At 36.9% G+C, this 24,308-nt stretch overlaps 1 protein-coding gene across 20 annotated transcripts in view; it reads right to left on the bottom strand.

Moving 5' to 3' along the window:
• The window catches only part of BTAF1 (B-TFIID TATA-box binding protein associated factor 1), a 107,668-nt gene that overhangs the window by 24,757 nt on the left and 58,603 nt on the right, over window positions 1-24,308 (bottom strand). For 15 of the 20 annotated variants that reach the window (NR_165097.1, NR_165102.1, NR_165094.1 and 12 more), the window contains 8 exons: window positions 23,920-24,094; window positions 22,277-22,480; window positions 17,101-17,527; window positions 14,372-14,562; window positions 12,834-12,987; window positions 12,037-12,146; window positions 10,111-10,312; window positions 8,930-9,078 (listed from right to left, as the gene is read on the bottom strand). Coding sequence is in view for 6 of the 20 variants with exons in the window: in NM_003972.3 (NP_003963.1) it covers window positions 8,930-9,078; window positions 10,111-10,312; window positions 12,037-12,146; window positions 12,834-12,987; window positions 14,372-14,562; window positions 17,101-17,527; window positions 22,277-22,480; window positions 23,920-24,094 (1,612 nt within the window). In the remaining 14 variants the exon portion in view is untranslated. Of the gene's footprint in view, window positions 1-8,929; window positions 9,083-9,500; window positions 9,602-10,110; window positions 10,313-12,023; window positions 12,147-12,833; window positions 12,988-14,371; window positions 14,563-17,100; window positions 17,528-22,276; window positions 22,481-23,919; window positions 24,095-24,308 lie in introns of all 20 variants that reach the window. The other 5 variants (NR_165093.1, NR_165091.1, NR_165104.1 and 2 more) reach the window with 2 other exon arrangements.

The raw sequence follows: 24,308 nt of genomic DNA, 5'->3' as shown, positions 1-24,308 counted from the left end.
ATAAAATTCATATTTTCAAGAGAAGCTGACAGTTTCCAATAAAAACAATTTTATGCTGTTGATAATAAACATGATTTTTAAAATATTATATAATGAATTGTGTCCACCTGTGGAAGATTTACGTAACTCAATGAACCAATATTTTCCAAATGACTGACGCATGATGTTACAAAACATGTATGGGTAATAAAAGATCCATTCAAAAGTATAAGACATACTTACCTGGCAGGGGAGATACCATGATCACAAAAGTGTAAGACAACCAATGAATTTCAATGTAAGAGAGTATGAAACATTCATTGATAGGATTTAGATTCTATATTGCACATAACACTTAACAAACTTTCTCTTTTTGAGTTCTGGTATGCTATCAGATAAAATAATATCCACAATTATTTGAGAAGGCTGTCAAAATATTGCTCCCTTTTCTAACTATCTCTGTGAGGCTGGACTTCCTTTATATATCCCTGAGCCAAAACAACATATTGCAACAGACTGAATGGCCAAGCAAACATGAGAATCCAGTTATCTACCATTAAACCAGAAATACTGGCCGGGTGTGGTGGAGGATTGAGCCCAGGAGTTTGAGACCAGCCTGGGTAACATAGCAAGACCCCATCTCTACAAAAAATTTTAAAAAATAGCCAGGTGTGGTGACATGGGACTGTAGTCCCAGCTTCTTGGGAGGTTAAGGCAGGAGGATCGCTTGAGTCCAGGAGAGGCTGAGGCTGCAGTGAGCTGTGATTGTGCTGCTGTCCTCCAGCCTGGGTGACAGAGTGAAACCCTGTTTCAAGGAAAAAAAAAAAACCCAAAAAACAAAAACATAAACCAGACATAAAAAAGATCTGCAATAGTATAATGCAATGTCACTCTTCTCACTAACACATTGTTTTAGAAAAGTTATTTTCATCAAAAAAGTTAATTATGTTAACATGTAGGTTTGTTATTTAAATGAATTATTTAAAAATTTCCCAGTTTTAGTATCTATTACAGAAAATATAATAAACAACAGCTCTTTGGTGTCTTCAATTTTTAAGAGTGTAACAAGGTCCTGACACAACAATCTATGTGAAAAAAGAAATCAAGAAAACAATCCCATTTACAATAGCAACAAAAAATAAAATAGGAATAAATGTAAGGAGGTGAAAGATCTATACACTGAAAGCTATAGAACATTAATGAAAGAAACTGCTGGGGACACAAATAAATGGACATAAATATGGAAAATAAATGTTCTTGGACTGGAAGAATTAATATTGTTAAAATGTCCATACTACCCAAAACTATCTATAGATGTGATGCAATCCCTAAATTGCAGAGGATCCCTAATCCCCAAAATTCCAGTGGCATTTTTTACAGAAATAGAAAAAGCAATCCTAAAACTCATATGGTTCTCTATTATCCCTCTGAATAAGCTTTCTATAAAAACAAACAAACAAAAAAACTCATGTGGAACCACAAAAACCCCAGATAGCCAAAGCAATCTTGAGCAAAAGGAACAAAGCTGGAGGGATCACGCTACCTGATTTCAAAATATACTACAAAGGTATAATAATCAAAACTGTATGATGTTGGCATAAAAACAGCAAAGACCAATGGAACAGACTAGAGAGCCTAGAAATAAATGCATGCATTTACAGTTAATCTTTGACAAAAGAACACACAAGGGGAAAGGACAGCCTCTTCAATAAATGGTGTTGGGAAAACTGGATATTCACATGCAGAAGAATGAAACTGGACCTTTGTATCTTACACCAAGTTCAAAACTCAGGTCACGATCAAAAAATTAAATGTAAGACTGGAAACTATAAAATTACTGGAAAAAAATAAGAAAAAAGCCTTTTTGACACTGGTCTGGACAAATTTTTTGGATATGACTCCAAAAGCACAGGAAACAAAATCAAAATACAGGCCAGTCATGGTGGTTCACCCCTGTAATCCCAGCACTTTGGGAGACTGAGGCAGGAGGACTGCTTGAGCCCAGGAGTTTAAGACCAGCCCGGGGTAAACAGAGGGAGATCCCATCTCCACACAAAATAAATAAAGTTAGCTGGGCATGGTGGCACACACCTGTAGTCCCATCTACTTGGGAGGCTGGGGTGGAAAGATCACTTGAGCCCAGGAGGTCGAAGCTGCAGTGAGCCATGATCATACAACTGCACTCCAGCCTGGGCAACAGAGTGAGACCTTTTCTCAAAAACAAAAACCCAAAACAATCAAAACATAGGTTGAGCATCCCAAATCCAAATATCTAAAACATTGTTATTTCCAGCATTACAAATGAAGGAAATGCTCAATGGTGCATTTCAGATTTCAGATTTTCAGATTAGGGATGCTCAACTGGTAAGTATAATGCAAACATTCAAAAATCTGAAATCTTAAATACTTCTAGTCACAAGCATTTCAGATAAAGGATACTCAACATATATAGACAAATAGGACTGCATCAAACTAAAAAGCTTTCTGTATAGCACAGGAGACAATCAACGGACTGAAGAGACAACCAACAGAATGGGAAAAATTATTTGCGAACCATAAATCTTGATAAGAGGTTAGTATCTAAAATATAAAAGGAACTCAACTCAACAGAAAGAAAATAAGATGTAAAAATGGGCAGAGGACCTGAATAGGTATTTCTTAAAAAAAAAATACAAATGGCCAGCAGATAAATGAAAAAATGCTCAACATAAATCATCAGGGAAACACAAATTAAAACTGGTATGAGATATTACCTCAGAACTGTTAGAATAGCTATTATTAAAAAGACAAAACGTGTGGAGGAAGATGTGGAGAAACAGGAACCCTTGCGTATTGTTGGTGGGAATGTAAATTAGTACAGCATTATGGAAAACAGTATGGATGTTACTCAAAAAATTAAAAATAAAACTACCATATAATCTAGCAATCCCACTTTTGGTTATATATCCAAAGGAAATGAAATCAGTACATTGAAGAGATATCTGTATTTCTGTGTTCATTGCAGCATTATTCACAATAGCTGAGATTTGGAATCAACCCAAGTGTTCGTCTATGTGATGAATGGATAAAGAAACTGTAGTGTATCTATATATAACTGGATACTATTCAGCCTCTAAGAAGGTAATTTTGTCATTTGTGACAACATGAATAAACCTGGATGACATTATGCTAAAGGAAACCAGCCAGGCACAGAAAGACAAATATGTGATCTCACTTATATGTGGAAATCTAAAATGTCAAACTCATGGAAGCAGAGTAGAATAGTGGTTACTAGGTGCTTAGTGCGTGGAAGGGAGAGGACTGAGGGGAAATGGATAGATGCTGGTTAAAGGGTACAAAGTTTACATAGAATGAATACATTCTGTAGATCTGTACAGCATGGTGACTACAGTTAATGATAAATACACTTGAAAGCTGCTAAAAGATTAAAACTTAATTAAATGGGTTTTCACCAAAAAAATGATGACTGTATGAACTAAGGTATATTAATTGGTCTGATACGTTTCAAAACATCATGTTGGACGCCGTAACTTTTTTTTTTTTTTTGAGACGGAGTCTCACTCTGTCGCCCAAGCTGGAGTGCAGTGGCCCCATCTCAACTCACTGCAACCTCCGCCTCCCAGGTTCAAGCGATTCTCCTGCCTAGCCTCCTGAGTAGCTGGGATTACAGGTGCGTGCCACCATGCCCAGCTAACTTTTGTATTTTCAGTAGAGATGGGGTTTCACCAGTTGGTCAGGCTGGTCTTGAACTCCTGACCTCGTGATCCACCCACCTCGGCCTCCCAAAGTGCTGGGATTACAGGCGTGAGCCACCATGCTCAGCCACATTTTTTTTATTAATAAAAAATGAAAGACTAAAAAAGTAATGAGACCAAAAAATTTGAGAACTACTGTCCTATGATGTCTCTCAACTTAAGAAATTTAAAATTCTGGAAACAGAATTTCAATTAAATCTAATTAAAATATATATTCCACACAACACTAAAAATAGCATTAGGGCAGTGAGGTATGTAGATTGAGTCTATTTTCAAAGGTATTGGAATTAACTTTATCTGCTAAGAGAAAAACTAACATTTCAGAACATCTAACAACATAATGATAATCATTAAAATAAAGTCTTTCTGCACAACGCTTTACAAATACCAAAATCTTCATATATTTATCCTCATGGAAATTTTAAGAAATGACAAGACACAGGGCCATATAACTAGGTCCATTCCCTAACAATGAAACCCTAAACCCAAGTGTTACGAATATTGTTTCAGTGCCAGCAACCCCTCGTGAGTGTCCTTCTCACTCCAATGTCCATAAAAATCAGCAAAAGTTACTAACAGTGCAGGGAATTAGAGCCTCTATAAAAATCACTGGTTGACATTCCAAGATTCTTTGACAACATGCATTTCAGAAAAGTAGATGATTTTTTCTATGAAGACTTAACAGAGAGAATCAAAATAAAGAGGAACAGGAATGAACTTAAACGACATCATTCTTGTTTCTATTGCTATGTATCTTCAAATTCACTAATATTTTCTTCCACAGTGTCTAACCTGCTATTAATGCAATCCAGTGTGTTTTTATTTATAACTGCATTTTTCATCTCTAGAAGTTCAATTTGGGTCATTCTTATATTTTTCATTGTGCTCGTCATCACACTCATGCTTTCCTCCTCTACCTTGAATATATGGAGTGTGTGTGTGTGTGTGTGTGTGTGTGTGTATATATATATATATATGGTTTTTTTTTTTTTTTTTTTTTGAGACAGGGTTTCACCATGTTGTCCAGGGTGGTTTCAAACTCCTAAGCTCAAGGAATCCGCCTGCCTTGGCCTCCCAAAGTGCTGGTGTTACAGAGGTGAACTACTGCACTCAGCCTTGGAGTATATTTTAATGTCCTTATCTATTATCTGGGTCTCTTCAGGGACTGTTTCTGTTGACTGTATTTTCCCCCAGTTACTGGACATATTTTTGGGCGTGGTAATTTTTTGGTGAATGTCAAACATCTGAAGTTTTATGTTGTTGGGTGCTGTATTTTTTTTAAATTATTCCTTTAAATATGTTGAGGCTTTTTTTTCTGGGAACTATTTAGTTTAGCTGAAATTAATTAGAACCCGTTAAGGCTTGCTTTTAAGCTTTATCAAGGAAGATCCAAATCAGCCTTTTGTCAAGGGCTAACTTGGCTCTATTACTGAGGCAATATGCTTCTAAGGACTTGATGCTCAGTATGGTAGAAGGTCTTGTTACTCTTACTCTGCTTAGTGGAAATACAAACTATTCCCAGCCCTGTGTGAGGTCTGGAAATTGCTCCACCTACTCCTTTCCACAGTGACTCTTTCCCCAGTCTCAAAGATGTCACAGTACATGCAGATGAATACTCAGCCAAAGGCTTGGGAGAACCCCCCTGTGGACCTCTGGAGCTTTCTCTCTGTGCAGCTACCTCCTGTCTGTGCAGTACCTACCTTCAGGTACTCTGTTTTGCTAATTCTGTCTTAACTCTTCAGCTCAGCAAGACTACTGGGCTCTCTTTGGGTTTCCCTTCTCTGTGCTATGCCTCCAGACAATAAGCTAGGGCACTTCATTTGTTTCGTTTCTCTCATGGTTCACTATCCAGTGCTGCCTGTTGTCCAATGCCTGAAAACCACTGTTTGGTACATTTTGTCTGGTTTTCTAGTTAAGGCAGGAGGATAAATCTGTTGCCTGTTTTTCCATCATGGCCAGAAGCAAAATCTGTATCATGTTCTAGTAATTTTCACAACTATCAAAGTGAGTCTTACTAATCTTTTCTCAATACCTAAAGTTCAAAATCTCTTTTGTCAATCTGTTATCAAGTACTGTTATTTTTCCTTAAGAACAAACAAACCGGGTGGCTCATGCCTGTAATCCCAGCACTTTGAGAGGCTGAGGTGGGCGGATCACCTAAGGCCAGCAGTTCGAGACCAGCCTGGCCAACATGGTGAAACCCCGTCTCTACTAAAAATACAAAAAATTAGCATGGTGGCCAGCACCTGTAATCTCAGCTACTAGGGAGGCTGAGGCAGGAGAATTGCTTGAACCCAGGAGGCAAAGGTTGCAGGAGCCAAGATCACACCATTGCACTCCAGCCTGGGTGACAAGAGCAAAACTCCAACTCAAACAAACAACCAAACAAAAAACAACCAAGAAAACCCCAAAAGACTACTGCTAAGCATTAGAGTTTAGACCCTTTATCACCTCACAGTGGATGTGAGCTCTATTTTGGCGCACTTTCAATTCTAATCCATATTCAAATGGCTATTAAACTGATTTTCCTAAAATACTACTTTCAGCTGTTAGACTAATTTTCCTTAAAAACAAACAAAAACTGCGGTCATCATCTCCTTTGTTTAAAGAACACATAATAGCTTCCCACTGCTCACTTATTCCAAAGCTAAGAAAGGGCCAAGGAGACTAAGTACAACCCATTTGGTTTAAAGGTGGGATGAAGATCTTGGAGTTGAAAGAATCTGAGTTAAAATCTAGGAAGCAGAGGATGAAAACAATTCTGGAAATGACACCTAGGTATTTTGATACTGTGGTCTAGTATCTTTGTTGTTGCAGTGGTAATTTTTTTTCACACTTTTTTTAGTGTGAGGTAAAATATACATATAGAGAAATAATCTAAGAAACAGTTTAGTAAATTATAAAACAAACATCTATACAACCAGATCAAGAAAAATACCCCTGCAGTCACCCTAGAAGATCCCATATGCTCCTTCCCAATCATAACCTTCTCTCTCCTTTCCTCAAGAGGTAATGATTTCACTGACTTTTATGGTAATTTCTTTATTTTTCTTTATACCTTTATCACCAAGTTTCTTTTGCCTGTTTTTGAATTTAATAAAAAAGGAATCCTATGTTAAAGATTTATGAATATTACTGTATGTGTCTGTGGTTTGTCTTCTTGCAGTATAACAGTACATGATTTACATATCTACTATCCATGATTATGTGGGTGATTTTCAGTTTCAGACTACTATAAATGATGTTATATTCTTCGCCAGGTGTGGTGGCTCACGTCTGTAATCCCAGCACTTTGGGAGGCCAAGGCGGGAGGATCACCTGAGGTTGGGAGTTTAGACCAGCCTGATCAAAAAGGAGAAATCCCGTCTCTACTAAAAATACAAAATTAGCAGGGCGCAGTGGCGCATGCCTGTAATCCCAGCTACTAAGGAGGCTGAGGCAGGAGAATCGCTTGAACCCGGGAGGCAGAGGTTGCAGTGAGCTGAGGTCGCGCCATTGCACTCCAGCCTGGTTGCAACAAGAGCAAAAGTCCGTCTCAAAAAAAAAAAGTCTTGAAAATGTGTTGAATTCTCTAGGTGTACATGTAGGATGAATTTTTCAGGTCATTAGGCTGGGTAGCTTCAATTTTACCAGATATAACCAAACTGTTTTTCAAAGAGGCTATCCTATTTATAACTCATTATTTTGCTGGTAGGAATGTCAAATGATACAGTTACTTTGGAAAACAATAAGGCAGTTTTATAAAAAAAATTAAACTTACCATATGATCCAGCATTTCATTCTTAAGTATTTACTCAAAAGAAATAAAAACACACATCCACGCAAAGACTTATAAATGCAGAGCAGCATTATTCATAATAACTTAATTTTTTTTTTTTTTTTTTGAAAGGAAGTCTCACTTTGTCATCCAGGCTGGAGTGCAGTGGCACCATCTTGGTTCACTGCAACCTCTGTCTCCCAGGTTCAAGCGATTCTCCTGCATCAGCCTCCTGAGTAGCTGGGATTACAGGTGTGTGCCACCACGCCCCACAAATTTTTGTATTTTTAGTAGAGACGAGGTTTCACCATTTTGTATTTTCAGTTGGTCAGGCTAATTTCGAACTCCTGACCTCAAGTGATCCACCCACTGTGGCCTCCCAAAGTGCTGGGATTACAGGCATGAGCCACCTCACCCAGCCCATAATAACTATTAATAAAAGCTGGTAACAATCCAAATATCCATCAACTGGTGACAGGATAAACAAAATGCAGTATGTCCATACAATGGAATACAATTCAGCAATAAAAAGGAAGTACTTATACATGTTAACAACATGGATGACATGCCATACCTACTATTTCCTGAATTATTCCTGGCTCTTTCTGTGTTTCAAGCCACTTCAGTTTCCTGCATTGGCCACACATTATTTGTGCCCCCATGAATGTACTCCGAAATACTCCAACATGATCCTTCTAGTCTTCTTTTTCATACTCCCACAGAGACCTCATTTGCTTTTTACAGTCTTAATTACCATCTCTCAAATTTATCTTTTGCCTAAACTTTAGCCCACAGTCTACACCTAGATGTTACCAGAAAAACTTAGGAACAATTCTATTTCTAGAAAAGCATTAGTAAATTTTTTTTAGGAATCATAGTGTCTGATTTCTTGTTTTACTTAAATTAAAACTCTGTGTGTTAAAGGAAAAAAGTACCAATTAAAAGCCTAAAAATCTTAATTATTGTAATATAAACATTTTTGAAATAATGCCTTCTTTTTTTAGCCTGACATGTTCTTTAACAAGTGTTACTTTTCTTTTCTTTTCTTTTTTTTTTTTTTTTGAGATGGAGTCTCGCTGTCGCCCAGGATACATACAGTGCAGTGGCACGATCTCAGCTCACTGCAACTTCTGCCTCCAGGTTCCAACAATTCTTGTGTCTCAGCATCCCGAGTAGCTGAGACTACAGGCACACACCACCATGCCCAGCTAACTGTTTTTGTCTTTTTTTTGTATTTTTTTTAGTAGAGACAGGGTTTCACCCATGTTGGCCAGGCTGGACTCAAACTCCTGACCTCAGATGATCCACCCACCTCAGCCTCAGAAAGTGCTGGGATTACAGGCATGAGCCTTTGTACCTGGCCCTAAAAAGGGTTACAATTATTATGGATCAAGTTATAGAAAACATTATGTCTTTAAAGCAAGTATCTTTGACTTACCTCAAGTGGCATGAGTCTAATTAGCGTTGCAAAGCACTGCGTGGCCATGAATCTCACACTGTCTGTCTGATCACTCATTCTTCCTAATACAGGAACAACTAAAAGGACAATATATGGAACAATACCAACATCTAGTTGTTCCATTACACCTGAGTAAGTGATTAAGGAAATTTTGAAATGGTTCCAAGACAGATGTTTTCACAAACAAACTGATACCAAGATTTTAACTTTTTAAAAGGCTCACCATTTTCTCATCTGTATTATGAGGGAAAAGACTGACCCTCCAGGCCTATGATTCAATTATAAAAGTATCTGCCCATTTTGTTGCTCCTTGGAAAATATTATGTAACTTTCTCATGATTAGGAATATAAAATTATGTTTTTCTTCTGAGGAAGGCTGGAGAAAGCTTTACCAATAAGATTTTTTTCATAGAGAAATTGCTACAAGCGTCTGGAATTCCAATGTCAAAATAAAATAAGTCACATTGTAAGTAAAGGAATATAACTGAGTGTCACTCAAAGATTAATTCCAAATTTCCCACCAGGATCTTGACAATCACCAGCAGGATATAGTGAGCCTAGTAAGCGCAGTTCTCCTGTAATCTTCAGTATTTTTGAACCAGAGTTTCTACTGATTTGATCTTCATCCATCTTTTGAGCTCTGTGAAATATCTTTCAGATACTTTGAGTTAAAGAATGTTAGCTGCTGCCATACCCTTAGCAAAGGGCTTGCCTGTATATTTCTAATTATCTAGTATAATATGGTCATTTGTAAACCCAAGTAATGAACAAACTTTAAAAACATAAAATGTTTATAACATAGGGACTACCTATAGAATACCTGATTAATAAGACACTGATTATAAACAAATAAATCACTTACTAGACATATAGTTCATAAAGTACATAAAACTATTTTGCCTATTAAAAAGATGTTTTAAAATCAATAGCAATTTTCCAAACTTTCCACATGAAAATTTTTATCATAAAATGCAAATCAGTTTGTAACACATTTGTAATAAAATACAAAAATATTTCAAAATAAGATGTAAAAAGAATAGGTATTTTTTGGAACAAGGCAGGTTATTTATGTGCATATTAGAACACATCAATTTCATTTTAATTATCCTTAAGTGAAATGAATATAATTCCTGAACAGTTTGTCAAATGAAAAAGGATACAGGCAAGTGCTTCAATTGCACCCTCTTGTTTGACACTGTCATCAATTGCTCCCAGCCACGGAAGAACCTTCTCCAAAAAAATATTCATTGTTTCCATGGTAGCTATTTTGCTCATGACACCTACACAACGAGCAGCCATGTGCCTCACTGCAGTACTGGGGTATTGAAGGCACATATAAAGATGTGGCAAATGCTGGACCAACTAAAAACAAAAAGTTAATGGCAATTAGAATTATTAGGAAATACTGTTTAATATGTAACTATAATAGCCCATACTCAGGAAAGTTTTCAATATTCTAAGTGACTCTAAAAATATCTCCAAATACTTCAAAACATTACTGCCAAAACATTCTCAATAGAAAACTAATCCAAATACAAATTAATGTATTACAACTCTTTCAAAAAGAAGGGAAAAAAAGGTATAGAACCTCTGCTCTGCTCATATCATCTCTTAGGCATATAGGAACACTCAATTCTTTCCAAAATTAACAGGAAACAAACCAAAAAGTACTTGGCAAGATTCTCCTACTGAAGCTGGAAAACAGCACCACACATCACCAGCTCCCTCCAAATTTGGTAGCACTAATTTAGATTTAGGTACATAATTTTTATTCAGTGGCTTGAGTGTTCCTGATTTTATTCTAGCACCATACTTTGGTAGGTATCGTCCACTGTAGCTTCCTGGCTTACCATAGGTGTTATAATCACAACAGCATCACAACAGCACCTTACTAAATGTCTGCTACAAGGAACACCAGAATTAATGCTGATGAGAGCCAGGTATCTGTTCAACAGTTTGATGTGCCTTACAGTTCAGCTGAATGCATGTTGCTAATTATGAAGATTAAGAGCGTACAGATGGACTCTACTTTTTTTTTTCCTTCTTTTTTTTTTTGAGACTGAGTCTCGCTCTGTCGCCTAGGCTAGAGTGCAGTGGCGCGATCTTGGCTCACTGCAACCTCTGCCTCCCGGGTTCCAGTGATTCTCCTGCCTCAGCCTCCCAAGTACCTGGGACTACAGGCATGTCCCATCACGCCCGGCTAATTTTTGTATTTTTAGTAGAGATGGGGGTTTCACCATATTGGCCAGGCTGGTCTTGAACTCCTGACCTCGTGATTCACCCACCTCGGCCTCCCAAAGTGCTGGGATTACAGGTGTAAGCCACCACGCCCGGCCTACTTTTCTTTACTAACAGTAAATCAGCAAAACTTTTAACAAGTAAAAGGACATACTTTATTACTATGTACAAAAAAAAAAATCCATTCTTCTCCACCCTCTCATAGATTCTCCCTTTTGTGTTAAATAACAATAGAGAACTGGGCTAATACCCTTCAAAATGGGGTAAATTGCAGACAGCTTCCTATTGCAGAGATATGAAAAGAATAATATTCTTCTATGAAAAAAACCAGATAATTCTCTATTTTCCTCCTCCCTCTGTCCTAATTCTTTTGTAAGAAACATTTTAATAGTTTTTTAAAAAAATCCCAAACCAGTGTTCTATCTTTGCCACTGACCAGCTTCACCTTAGGCAGGTGACTCCTTTCACCTTTGTACTTATCTAGGAAACAGATTTCATTATATATGCTTTTCCTTTCTTGGAGCTGTATTATTAGGATCATCTGGATGAACAGGGCTGCAGTTTTCTTTCCTATTTACATCTGGCTCCTGTGTCATCAGAGTCCTTTCCTCAATGCCCCCACATTCTAAGCTTCCAGGTTGGGTTTTCTATTAAATTCAAGCAGCCTGGTCTACATCAAAGCCCACAGGAGTTGCACTGTTAGTAAAGGAGGAATCTAGTTATACCACAGCAAAGAAAAATGCAATTAATAAGGATGACATCAAAGCTGTACCTTTCAAACCTTAAGACTTTTTAATAAGACCACTTGTTTTATTTGAAGAAATATTACACTTGCATTAGTTAGTTACCAAGGGATGAAGCTCAGAATCCATTGAAGCTGCTGCTGTTTCAAAAACCTGCAGAGAATTCACCAATTCTTGAGCAGGGCTATCTCCCTTATCCAGGAGGGATTTTCCATCTGTTAAAATATATTGTCTGTATTATCTGGCAAATAATTTTTCAAAATCTAGAGCACACAAAAACTTTTAGCACTTTTTCAGCTAGCATAGGAGAGTCAATTTTGCTTCTTAGTGTTAAAATTAAATGCCATGACCTTAATTTAAGTGCTGGGGTACTACATGTAGAGCAACCAAAGAACTTAAACATAGTGATCCATTTCAAGTATCTCTTTAAAAACAATTTTTTTTTTTTTTGAGACAGAGTCTCGCTCTGTCATCCAGGCTGCAGTGCAGTGGCATAATCTCGGCTCACTGCAACCTCCACCCCCAGGGTTCAAGCAATCCTCCTGCCTCAGCCTCCAGAGTAGCTGGGACTACACGCCCAGCTAATTTTTGTATTTTTGCTAGAGATGGGGTTTTGCCATGTTGGCCAGGTTGGTCTCAAACTCCTGACCTCAAGTGATCTGCCCACCTGGGCCTCCCAAAGTGCTGGGATTACAGGCATGAGCCACCATGCCCAACCCAAATATCTCTTTTATAAAATAAAGGTGTGTGTTTTTTTTAAACCAAGTTTCCATTTTAAAACTTACCAGCTGGTCTGGAATAAACAGGTAGAGGCATAGAGGCATTTTTATTTTATAAGGATATATTCAATTAATAGACATTAAAATTTGTTAAAAACTGGACTCATAAAAATATGTGTATACCAAAATTATTTATGTCGATTGTATTCCTCAATGGGCCAACCATAGCATCCCAGAGATGTGGCAACTTCACTGCCATTTCACCACCAAAATGCTTTACTATAGTTGTCAAAGCAAATTCAGCTCCTCTCCGTTGTACCAGGTAAGGCTTCTGGGCCTTAAAATTAAATGTTAGATAAAAACAGAATTTCAGAAAAAATCATAATACATTTAAAATTTTAACAAAAGAATTTAAAAGTCACCATCTAAGAATTCATAATGTTATCATTAACCAAGTAAGCAATTATTAGACATGTTTGTCTCAATTATAAACATTTCCCAATAATTAAATTTACAGGGGCCTACAACACCTAACTAGATTTTTGTGACCAAAGTAAAACACTTTTTTGGGGTTGAGGATAAGGAACAGACGGATATGTGCTGTTTCTAGAGATAGTCCTAAGTGACATTTTTTTTCCTCCTTCTCTCTACCTCAAAGAAACTTGTCAGCTAGAGAGAAGATAGATGAAGTGATGTGTCCTTATTTACATTCACTTAAGGGATAGTACAAGATCATCTGTTTAAGCTAACCCCAAGATTAATAATTCTTATTCAGCAGTAATTACGGTCCATAAATCTGTCCCCCCAAAAAGATATTTATATTTTTAAAATTATGTTTAATTGGAGGAATAACTATGCAAACTAGAGATATAAATATCAAAATCACAGTAAAATTTTTATTACAATTATTATAGGGAAATATTGTCAATGAAAAAGACTTTACAGAATGTTTTAAGGGAAATATAGATAAGCTGTTGATTTTAAAAAGAAACTTAAAAGGGGTTTATATTTTACAGAAACATGTCTTTTAGTATTGATGGTTTACTGCTGAACTGAGGTACATTCCTATGCCTTGCATTCCAAAGAACTAACTAGAGCATTCATTCTATTGCTAATAATGTGACTGTCAGATTTTCAAAACAAAACACTTTTTAAAAACCACTGCTTGTTAAGACTGTACGGTGTAACAGGTGGACCAATGGGAGATAATGGAAAGCCTGAATAGACCCTCACACATATGAAGCCATTAACAGAGGTGCCATTATAAATCAGAGAGGAAAGGATTCAATAGTGGGATAACTGGCTGTTCATATGAAAAATAAATTTAGAACCCTACCTCACACTAAGCATTTAATAAATATCAAATTGACTAAAAAAGTCAGGTGGGTTGCAATTATATGACATTTGTGCATTGAAAGGACAGAGAAAAGTTAGCTTTCACTATTATTGAGCACCTTCTCTACAGTCACTGCTATAGGACTGAATTAGTTTACAAGGCTGTCTTGCCTAGGAAGATAAAGTTAAGCTGGTAAAAATTACAAGAGACATGAGATATTTGAAGTTTGCCGTTTTTCTGGATCATATTGTTGGAGTACTCCAAAAATTAATCCCATTTCTTTACTTAAAAACAACTCTGGAAGCTAATACAACTTAGTTCTCAATTTGTAAGTCAGATATTTGTTTAAAAATCAAAGCATTAAAAAAAAAAAAAAACTACTTACCTCATCAAGTTCAACAAGAATATTTCCACTACTTCCTGCAGGAAGATCTGCTATTTGAGCTTTTACTGCTTTGGGGGTAGGACCTCGCCTACTTGTGATAGCAAAGGCAGCTTTCTGGTGCCTGTAGAGTGTAATTATACCTCTGTGCTTGGTGACAGTATGGTGCATTCCATCTTTTTCTGAGGTGGATCCTAATAAGAAAAAAGTTAAACAACCTTTTAATCATAATATTGGTGATACCAAATGTTTTCAGCTCCATAAGAGATAAAACATTTTTAAACTATGTCTTTTAGGCCTCAACTTTTATAGGCCAATGACATTTTCCTTAGACAATGAAATGGCAATAAAATAGTCTATTTGCATAGGATTTATACCTAATACAATCCAGGTTGCAGAGCCATCTGAACAATGAGAAACAGCACATGAAAAAATTATTGTGACTTCAGTTAATGTGTTTGTGTGTGTATATATGTGTGTATATATATATATATATATATATATATATATATATACACACACACACACACACACACATATATATAATTTTTTTTTTCTGAGACAGGGTCTTTCTCTGTTGCCCAGGCTGGAGTGCAGTACCACCGTCTCAGCTCACTGCAACCTCCACCTCCTGGGCTCAAGAGATCCAATCCTCCCACCTCAGCCTCCTGAGGAGTTAGGACTACAGGCACACACCACCACACCCAGCTAATTTTATATTTTTTGAAGAGATAGGGTTTCACCATGTTGCCCAGGCTGGTCTCAAACTCCTGAGCTCATTCCATCTGCCCGCCTCGGCCTCCCAAAATGCTGGGATTATAGGCATGAGCCACCATGCCCAGCCTATTAATTTTTTGTTGTTATTTTTGAGATGGAGTCTCACTCTGCCACCTAGGCTGGGGTGCAGTGGTGCAATCTTGGCTTACTGCAACCTCCACTTCCCAGGTTCAAGGGGACTCTCATGCCTCAGCCTCCTGAGTAGCTAGGATTACAGACGCACGCCACCACGTCCGGATAATTTATATATATATATATATATATTTATATTTATATTTATATATTTTTTTGAGACGGAGTCTCGCCCTGTCGCCCAGGCTGGAGTGCAGCAGTGCGATCTCGGCTCACTGCAAGCTCAGCCTCCCAGGTTCACGCCAGTCTCCTGCCTCAGCCTCCTGAGTAGCTGGGACTACAGGTGCCTGCCACCATGCCCGGCTGATTTTTTGTATTTTTAGTACAGACGGGGTTTCACCATGCTAGTCAGGATGGTCTCGAACTTCTGACCTCGTGATCCACCCGCCTCGGCCTCCCAAAGTGCTGGGATTACAGGCGTGAGCCACTGCACCCAGCCTAATTTTTATATATTTTTTTAGTAGAGATGGGGTTTCACCATGTTGACCAGCCTGGTCTTGAACTCCTGGCCTCAAGTTATCTGCTCACCTCGACCTCCTAAAGTGCTGGGATTACAGGCATGAGCCACTGCCTGGTCCCTGGCCTATTAATTAATTAATTATTATTTTTTGAGACGGAGTTTCACTCTTGTTGCCCAGGCTGGAATACAATGGCGCGATCTCAGCTCACCGCAACCTCCGCCTCCCAGGTTGAGGCCATTCTCTTGCCTCAGCCTCCCGAGTAGCTGGGATACAGGCATGCACCACCATGCCCAGCTAATTATATATTTTTAGTTGAGATGGGATTTCTCCATTTTGGTCAGGCTGGTCTTGAACTCCCGACCTCAGGTGATCCGCCTGCCTCGGCCTCCCAAAGTGCTGGGATTACAGGCGTGAGCCGCCGTGCCTGGCCTGGCCTATTACTTTTTAAAAAATTATTGTGCCTAAGCATAACGAGAAATATTAAAAAATATCTCAAGCAAGTTCTCTTTAAAAGCAGAGTCACCATGAATTAAAAAAAAAAAATTGGTCACTGCAAAATGATGCTGCCTTATATAGCAATGGACCAGGGGGGTAAGAGGGGGGAGAATGACCCCAATGTATTTTTAAGATGTTAATATTCAAAATGTCCACCTTTCTTCTTCTAGTTCATAAACATATTTTTCAAGATCTATGCTGCACCAAAGCTGTAAGTCTACTACATTTCAAATAATTTGTTTTCCCAAAATCTTGTTAACAATCACACATACAAAAAGCACATAGGACTGAGTCATATGAATAAAACACTGGTCTTTAAGACCTGCCTACAGAGGGCAGTTCTCATTTTCCATACAAATTCTCCAAGTGAAAACAAAAAAGTTGGTTAAGTATTATTTACTAAAAGTACTAAAAGTTCACTAATCTCATAAAACATGCACTAAATTAGGGAAACGAGAGATTTTATAATGACTTTTTCAGTCAATAGGGTTGCTCCTTTGGTTAAGGAAAAAAAATTCATTAAATAACATTTGATACAATTACCTTTTCTAGCTTGATACAGTAAACCATATAATGATGGTTTTGAAGGCAAAGGTAAGGGTGAACACCTGTCTTACAGATTTCAGTCACCTTATATCAGCTATCAGATCTTCCATGAATGGCTTTTTTGAACTTACAGGGTTGTGACTGGTAAGTATTATGTGCAAATTCATGTAACAAAGAGTTTTGTTATAATCAAGCCTTTTCTCTCAGAATGGGAAAAAACACTAACATGAACTGGATTTGTGCTTAAATTATACCCATAAGTAAACAAAAACAAATTTAAAAGGTTATTTCTCTACCCCAAATAAAAGTTTAGGTATATACCTTTAGAATTTTCCTGGCCACTTTGTGTTGGTACTGGACATGTGACACAAGGAGTTAGATATGGGTCCACACAAAGTGAGCTACAGAGGTTTTTAATAATTTTTGAATTGGGACAGGGCGTCCTTGTTGTGCACTGCTGAAGGAGTTTAGCTATGCACTGAGCTGCATAGTTTTGCACTAGTGTATTCTCTTCTTTTTTAATTGTCTCCATTAATGGTTTTATGATAGGATTTAATTTCTCCGGAAGCTGCTGCAAGCTCACAACTGCACAGGCAGCAAAAGTATGCACTCTCAACTGCAACACTTGCCACTCCTGGTTGGTCTCTGTAACTGTCATTTGGACCTGCTGTCGTTTACTATCTAACTGTTGTAACACTTGAGGATTTAAATCGAAAGATGATGTGGCTTCATTAAAAACAGTAGTGACCTATTAAAAAAAAAAGAAATTAAAAATCATTAATCATATCAACCCCAAATAGACTGTAAGCTCCTAAAGGGTAGACAGCAAGCTTTCTGTTTCAATTTTGGTTTCCACAATATGTAATATTGTTTTAGTACTCAGTAAACTAATGTCTAAAACTTCCCAACTAAATTTTATTTTAATCTGACTAAAATTTAACATTAGCATTATATTCTTTAAGAAAGACATTCTCTTGAGAAGAATAAAATTATCTAACCTTTAAATATGTCTAAATGACTTTGAGGAAAATCACATTTAACACCCGCAGAATACTCTGGTGAAACAAGAAAGCTACAGGCAAATATAAACTAACTGTTCATGAAGGAATTCCAAAACTCACAAACTTCTTTTTGGGAAAAATATTCTTTTCAACTCTAAAACTCGTGAAAACTTAAGAGTGGCTGTTTACTAAGTGGCTAAGTGTTGCTAACTGAATCATTCTCTTTCTTTCTTTAACCTCCCTTCTGGTGGAAATGCCCAGGCAATGGAAGAAGGAAAAGAAACAAAACAAAACAAAACAGAACAGAACAAAATGGTGCAGTTATCATTCACTTAATTACCAAGAGCTATCTAAGGCTACAGGACTGTTGTACCAGACTACTTTGCAAGCCCCATTGAAAGACTGTTCAGTCAGTCTTTTTTTTAACAACTTTATTCAGATATAATTTGCATACCATAAAAACTACCCATTTGAAATGTACAATGTATAAGATTTATTTGAAACAGGGTTACAATGCTAAAAGTTTAAAAACATTGTCCTAAATCCACTATGCTCATGTCACTTTTCAATGACTGTAGACAACTGAGGAAAAGCCTCAGTTACCCCCAAATTAATTCAATCATTCAACCAATATTTATTAAAAGATAAATAAGATATAATGTCTTAATATGCTCAAAAAATGCAGAGACTAATGTGGGAGAGATATAAATAATTAAGAAAATGTAACATATAACTGAGGTAAGTGCAAGTTGCTGTGGGAATACAGAGCACTCCTTATTCCTTCTTAGAAGAAGAGATTAGTGGGAGACTTGTCAGAGGAGGATAACACTTATGCTTGGTTTTTAAAGAACAGGCCAATCAGGGATTATAGGGACATCTTGGCAAACAAAGTGAGGTAGGGAGTGGAAAACAGGACACTGTCTGTGGAATTGAAGTTTATCATAGCTTGAGCACAACACACAGAAAAAGAGATGAACTCTGGATAAGCACAGAGGGTTAGGGATGGGGAATTCCTGGCAAAGGAAATAGAAGCTCGGGCCCAGAAGTGAGAATGAGCAGAAGTGAATAAGTGTAGCGTACTTGCGCAAGAAGAAAGCTAACTGGGCGTGAGTGGAGAAAGTTTGAGAAATAATGAGGAGATAAGAGATAGAGCATTTAGAAGAAAGTGATGAAAAGAAGAAAGATAAAAATGAAAAAGCAAGGAAAAGGAAAATAATGTTTTTAAGCAGGAGAGGGATGTTCAGGGTGGCACAAAAAGAGCATTGCTAGTCTAGCACAACATGCAGAATGAAATGGACCAGAGGCTGCCTGGAGCCCTAGAGATGAGTCAGGACCTAGATATAAAGTACTAAGATCTGACTGGGCTCTGATAATGGAAATAGAGAAGAGATTAAACATGAGACTTTCTTTTTTTTTTTGAGACCAAGTCTCACTCTGTCACCCAGGCTGGAGCGCAGTGGCGTGATCTTGGTTCACTGCAAGCTCCGCCTCCTGGGTTCACGCCATTCTCCTGCTTCAGCCTCCCGAGTAGCTGGGACTACAGGCACCCACCACCACGCCCGGCTAATTTTTTGTATTTTTAACAGAGATGGGGTTTCACCATGTTAGCCAGGATGGTCTTGATCTCCTGACCTCATGATCCACCCACCTCGGCCTCCCAAAGTGCTGGGATTACAGGCGTGAGCCACTGCGCCCGGCCTAAACACATGAGACTTTCTGAAAGAAAATGCTGACAAGATTTGTGACTGGAATAAAAAGAGTATCTTTGTCAAAAAAAAAAAAAAAAAAGCCAGTTTTTGTTGTGTTCAGTGTGAAGTGACAGTGAGATATTTAAGTAAAAATGCCTAAAAGAAGAACGTAAGAAAGACTGAGAGTAGACAGCACACAGTACCTGGGTAGGAACTAAATCATGAGAATGGTGCAAGAGACAAAGATCGCAGGGAAATGTCTATATTTGGCAGGTAACAGGAAAACAGGGATTCAATGAAGATACAAAAGGCAGTGGCTCCTTTGAAAACTGCCCTTCCCTCAAAAGTCCCTTACAGAAAAAAAAAAGAAAAAAAGTCTCTCCCAGAGATTCTGATATTTATGCTTATCTTCTAGCCCAAGTCAAAACAACTGAAGAGTAAAAGATCTGAATAAGCAAATCTTAAAGAAGGGGCCATTTGATGAGCTTAAAAAAGGAAAGTTCCCAGAAATAGTAGGCAGGGAACCTAGACTATAAAGAAAATTTGAGATTTAATTCCAGACAGGCAAAAAAGTAGGGAGAGGAGGCAAAAAGGAAAACTTACAGAATAACAACACTCGGGAAAATAACTTTATAAAAGAAGAGAACCCAGGGGGAAAAAAAACAGCAATTTTAGCTTTCTCTCCACAGGTGAGAACAAAAAAATTCAACTATATTATTTTTCAACTAGAAATGGGGATAAGAAATGAAGATTACTATTTTCATGGGGACCAACACAAATGAAGTGACTCAATTTCTGATCCTATAACTCAAAAAAGGAAGAACTCATATATACTACACCTAATCTCATGCACTTACTAAGTACAAAGCTGCTGTAATGAAGCATGGATGCTGGCATAAGGAAAGACAAATACATTGAACAAATGGCCCAGATACACAGCATACTTATATAACTTCAGTTGGTTTTTGACAAAGGTGCCAGAACAATCCAATAGGGAAATGAAAGTATTTTCAATAAATAATGCTGGAAAAATTAGATATCTGTAAGAAAAACAAACCTCAACCTCTACTTCATACTATACACAAACATTAATTCCAAATGAATGATAAATCATAAAAACTAAATGACAAAACTTCAAAAGAAAACATATGTGAATACCTTTGCCACTTGGAAAGTTAAAAAAAAAAAAATTACTGAAGTCACACAACATAATAGCCATGAAAGAAAACAACTGATAAATTAGAATTCACCAAAATTTAAAATATCTGCTCATCCAAAGACAGCATTAAGAGAATCAAAAGGCAAACCACTCACTGCCAGAAAATATTCAGAAAGCATCTACTTGACAAAGGATTGGAATCCAGGATACATAAAGAACTCCCACAACTCAATAACAAACAAACAACCTAATTCAAAGTAGACAAGATTTTGAAAAGATATTTCAGAAAGGAAAATATACAAATGATCAATAAAAAATTAGAAAGTATTCAACATATTAGTCATCAAGGAAATGGAAATTAAAACCACAATAACACTATCAGACAATCACTAAAAGAACTGACCACATCAAATATTGATGATGTGGAGTAACCAGAACTCTCACATACTGATGGTCAGAGGGTAAAATGATACAATCTCTTTGGGGAAAAGTCTGTAGTTTTTTCTAAAACTAAACCTACACCTATCTTATGATTTAGCAATTCCACTCCTACATATTTACCCAAGAAAAATGAAAGCAGATGTCCACAAAGACTTGCAGAAGAACGTTTATAGTGACTTTTTTCACAACAGACAAAAAGTGGTAACAGCCAAAGTGTCCATAAACGGGAGAATGGCTTAAACTAGTTGTGGTATAATAATACAATGAAATAAAACTCAAGCAATAAAAAAAATAAGTTATTGATATATATATATATAACACAGATTAGTTTCAAAAATACCATTCTAAGAAAAATCCTTACACCAAAGAGCACAGTGTATGATTTCATTTACATGAAATTCTAGAACAGGCAAAAGTAATGTATCTTCGGGGGGGAATTAGAATAATGGTTACTCGGTGGCAGGGAGAGGCAGAGATTACTGGGAAGTGGTGATGATAATGTTCTGTATCTTGACAGTGGTTCAGGTTTCATAGGCATATGCATCTGTCAAAATTCACCAAATGGTCCACCTAAGATTTGTGTGCTTTAGCACATAAATTTTTCCTCAGAACAGCAAAAAAAAATAAACAAATACTGAATTTTAGTTAATTATATAAAATCCTGAAGTATACTGATATCTGAAACTTACTTAGAAACGCATTTAAAAAAACTGCCCTGGATGGATTCATGGTTGGATAGAGAGGTAGGCAGGTGAATACGTATGTGATAAAGTAAATTAGGTAAAATGTTAACTATAAAATCTAGCTGTTAAGTATGAGTGTTATGTAATTTCATCACTTTTTCTATATGTTTGAATATTTTCATTATAGGCTGAGAGCAGGAAGAAGTACTCAGGAACTTGTAGAAGCAGTTTTTTCTATACTCTGCAGTGTTAAGCAAAACTGAAATGACAAAATATAATAGCTTTTTCTAATAAAGGTGCATTGATTTATCAGAATTTTGGTTTAAAAAAAATTCTTTGTTATTCTCTTATTTCAAGAAAAGCCTATACAATGAAATAACCTTTCTCAAGGGTAGAGATGACAGGCTACCAAGCCACATACAGACTCAACAAACTAATGTGTTTTTGTGATAAACATGTCATGACAAATTTCTAACCTATATTTCATGTTCTATCTCTAATTAAGAAAGTTATTTCTTTACTCACCAAGTCACTAGCTTGATCTATTGTTAAAACATTGTTGTTTACTCGATTACCAACTTCAATATGTACATCAGCTAATGATGATATAAGTTGTTTACATTCATTCTGCATTCGTGTGAATGGAACGGCAATTTCGTCATAATATAAATGTTCTGAAAGGATATCAAGTAAACGCGGCTGCACAGCTAAGGTAACAGCTTTACACTCCTAAAATACAACAGAAAACAAATAGGGTAACTGTATGAACATTAACTTTATAGATACAGAAATCGTCATTTGTAGACTACCAAGTTCTAAATTCTTACTTGTACTGAATCTATATTCTGTTACTTCTCCAAACAACAGTTAATTGCACAGAAAAAAAGGTATTACATCCAAATTATTGTAAAATTTTAACATGAATGACTACAGAACATGCACACAGAACTATTACAACTTCATTTTCTACCTATCCAAAGTTTACACGTGTATATATATCACAGATTTTAAAGTGTATTATGGTAAAAAAAAAAAAAATCAGAAAAGAAATCTATCAAGCACTAATTAAAAATGTTATTTAAAAACTCATTATTAGATAACAGTTGAACCCTAAGCTTCACATGCCATACTGTAAAAGTGGATATAAATTTTAAAAGCTACTTATCTATCCCCAAATTTAACTAACCCTTCCCACTCTCTCTGGTTGTTGCCTGCCCCAAACCAACAGGAAATGGCCTCAGTGGTGAGCCATGAGGGGTTCTGTGGCATCTCAGTTATCAGCCTGGGCTTCACAGAGTAAGTCCATGAAGCTCTGTGAGTGTCCAGAAACCTAACTGTCAACACTTGCTGCTAAGTCTGAGAGGCACAAAAACATAGCATCACTGCCTCTCCAGCACACCAACTCCTGCCTAAAAACAGATGAGCTTTGCTTCTTTCCAGAGGCCAAGCAGGGGTGTCAGCTGCAATGGAGCATGGCTCAATTACTTTTAGATACAGCTTTGACAAACTGCTAACAGGCAGTAACAAGTAACTCTCACAGCAAGTGCAGACAGTTAAATTTCCAGAATTCCAGTCAATGGAATAAACAAAGCCAGTAGAAAGTTTCTTTGATTTACAGAAGTATGTCTTATACAAAATCATACATCTCCCTAGAAGTTAACGGTTAAAGAGGCTGGAAGGGAATGGTTTATTTGGAAACATGAAGATTTTGGTTTAAATACAGAGATGTTATTCTTCCTGTGACCAAAAATTCTGCCTTTGCTACTACCCACACAGATGGATGTCTAATACTCAAAGCCTCATCCTTTGTAGTTTTCAGTGATACCTGAGTGACATATAGAGGAATGGATGACCAATAGTTTCTGGACTACTTTCACATATACGCGGTTTTTAATAGGGATATTTCTTAACAGACTGTACAGTCAACAGCAAATATTAAGTATGAGCATAACTAGTAGTTGGAAGTATGAGTAGGGGTTCTAAGACAAAAGTCCAGAGTTAAAAGTAAATGGGAGAGAAATAATCTTCAATATAATTTGGACACTTTTCTGTAACTCTTGGATTTTTATACATCGAAAATTTTCACTTTTCTGTTGTAAATAATCCTAACAGCTAATGGAAATTGGTTTACTTAATTTGTCTTTATTACTTTTGGGGCAAAATCTTACCTTTTGTAAAGCAGCCCATTCACAGATTACCAAAGCTACACTAATCCTCTGTAAAGCAGACTTGGAGTTCAAATGGAAGAGTAGTAACTGGCCCAGGGATTCAGCTGGTTTAATTTCTTGAGTTACCACATTTACACCTGGATCACAAATACAGCAACAAAGTGCTCCTAACAACCTAAGAGGGAGAAAAAGGAAGTTACTATAAGAAATTACTTGAAGTAAAGTTTCCCCATACTTCGGGAAATTTTTTCAATTTCCTATAATTACTTGAAGCAAAATTTGGCTTTTTGAAGCCATAACTTTTCCCACAGAAGGTATAATGACTATCTTGTCTTCATAAGAAGATATAAATCCTATTTTAAAGCTTTAAAATAATTAGAAGTATTTGC

This window comes from Homo sapiens, chromosome 10 (genome assembly GCF_000001405.40).
Source record: "Homo sapiens chromosome 10, GRCh38.p14 Primary Assembly".
Lineage (NCBI taxonomy): Eukaryota > Metazoa > Chordata > Mammalia > Primates > Hominidae > Homo > Homo sapiens.
Note: the sequence above shows the minus strand (reverse complement) of the source record. Positions and strands in the feature narration are given on the sequence as shown.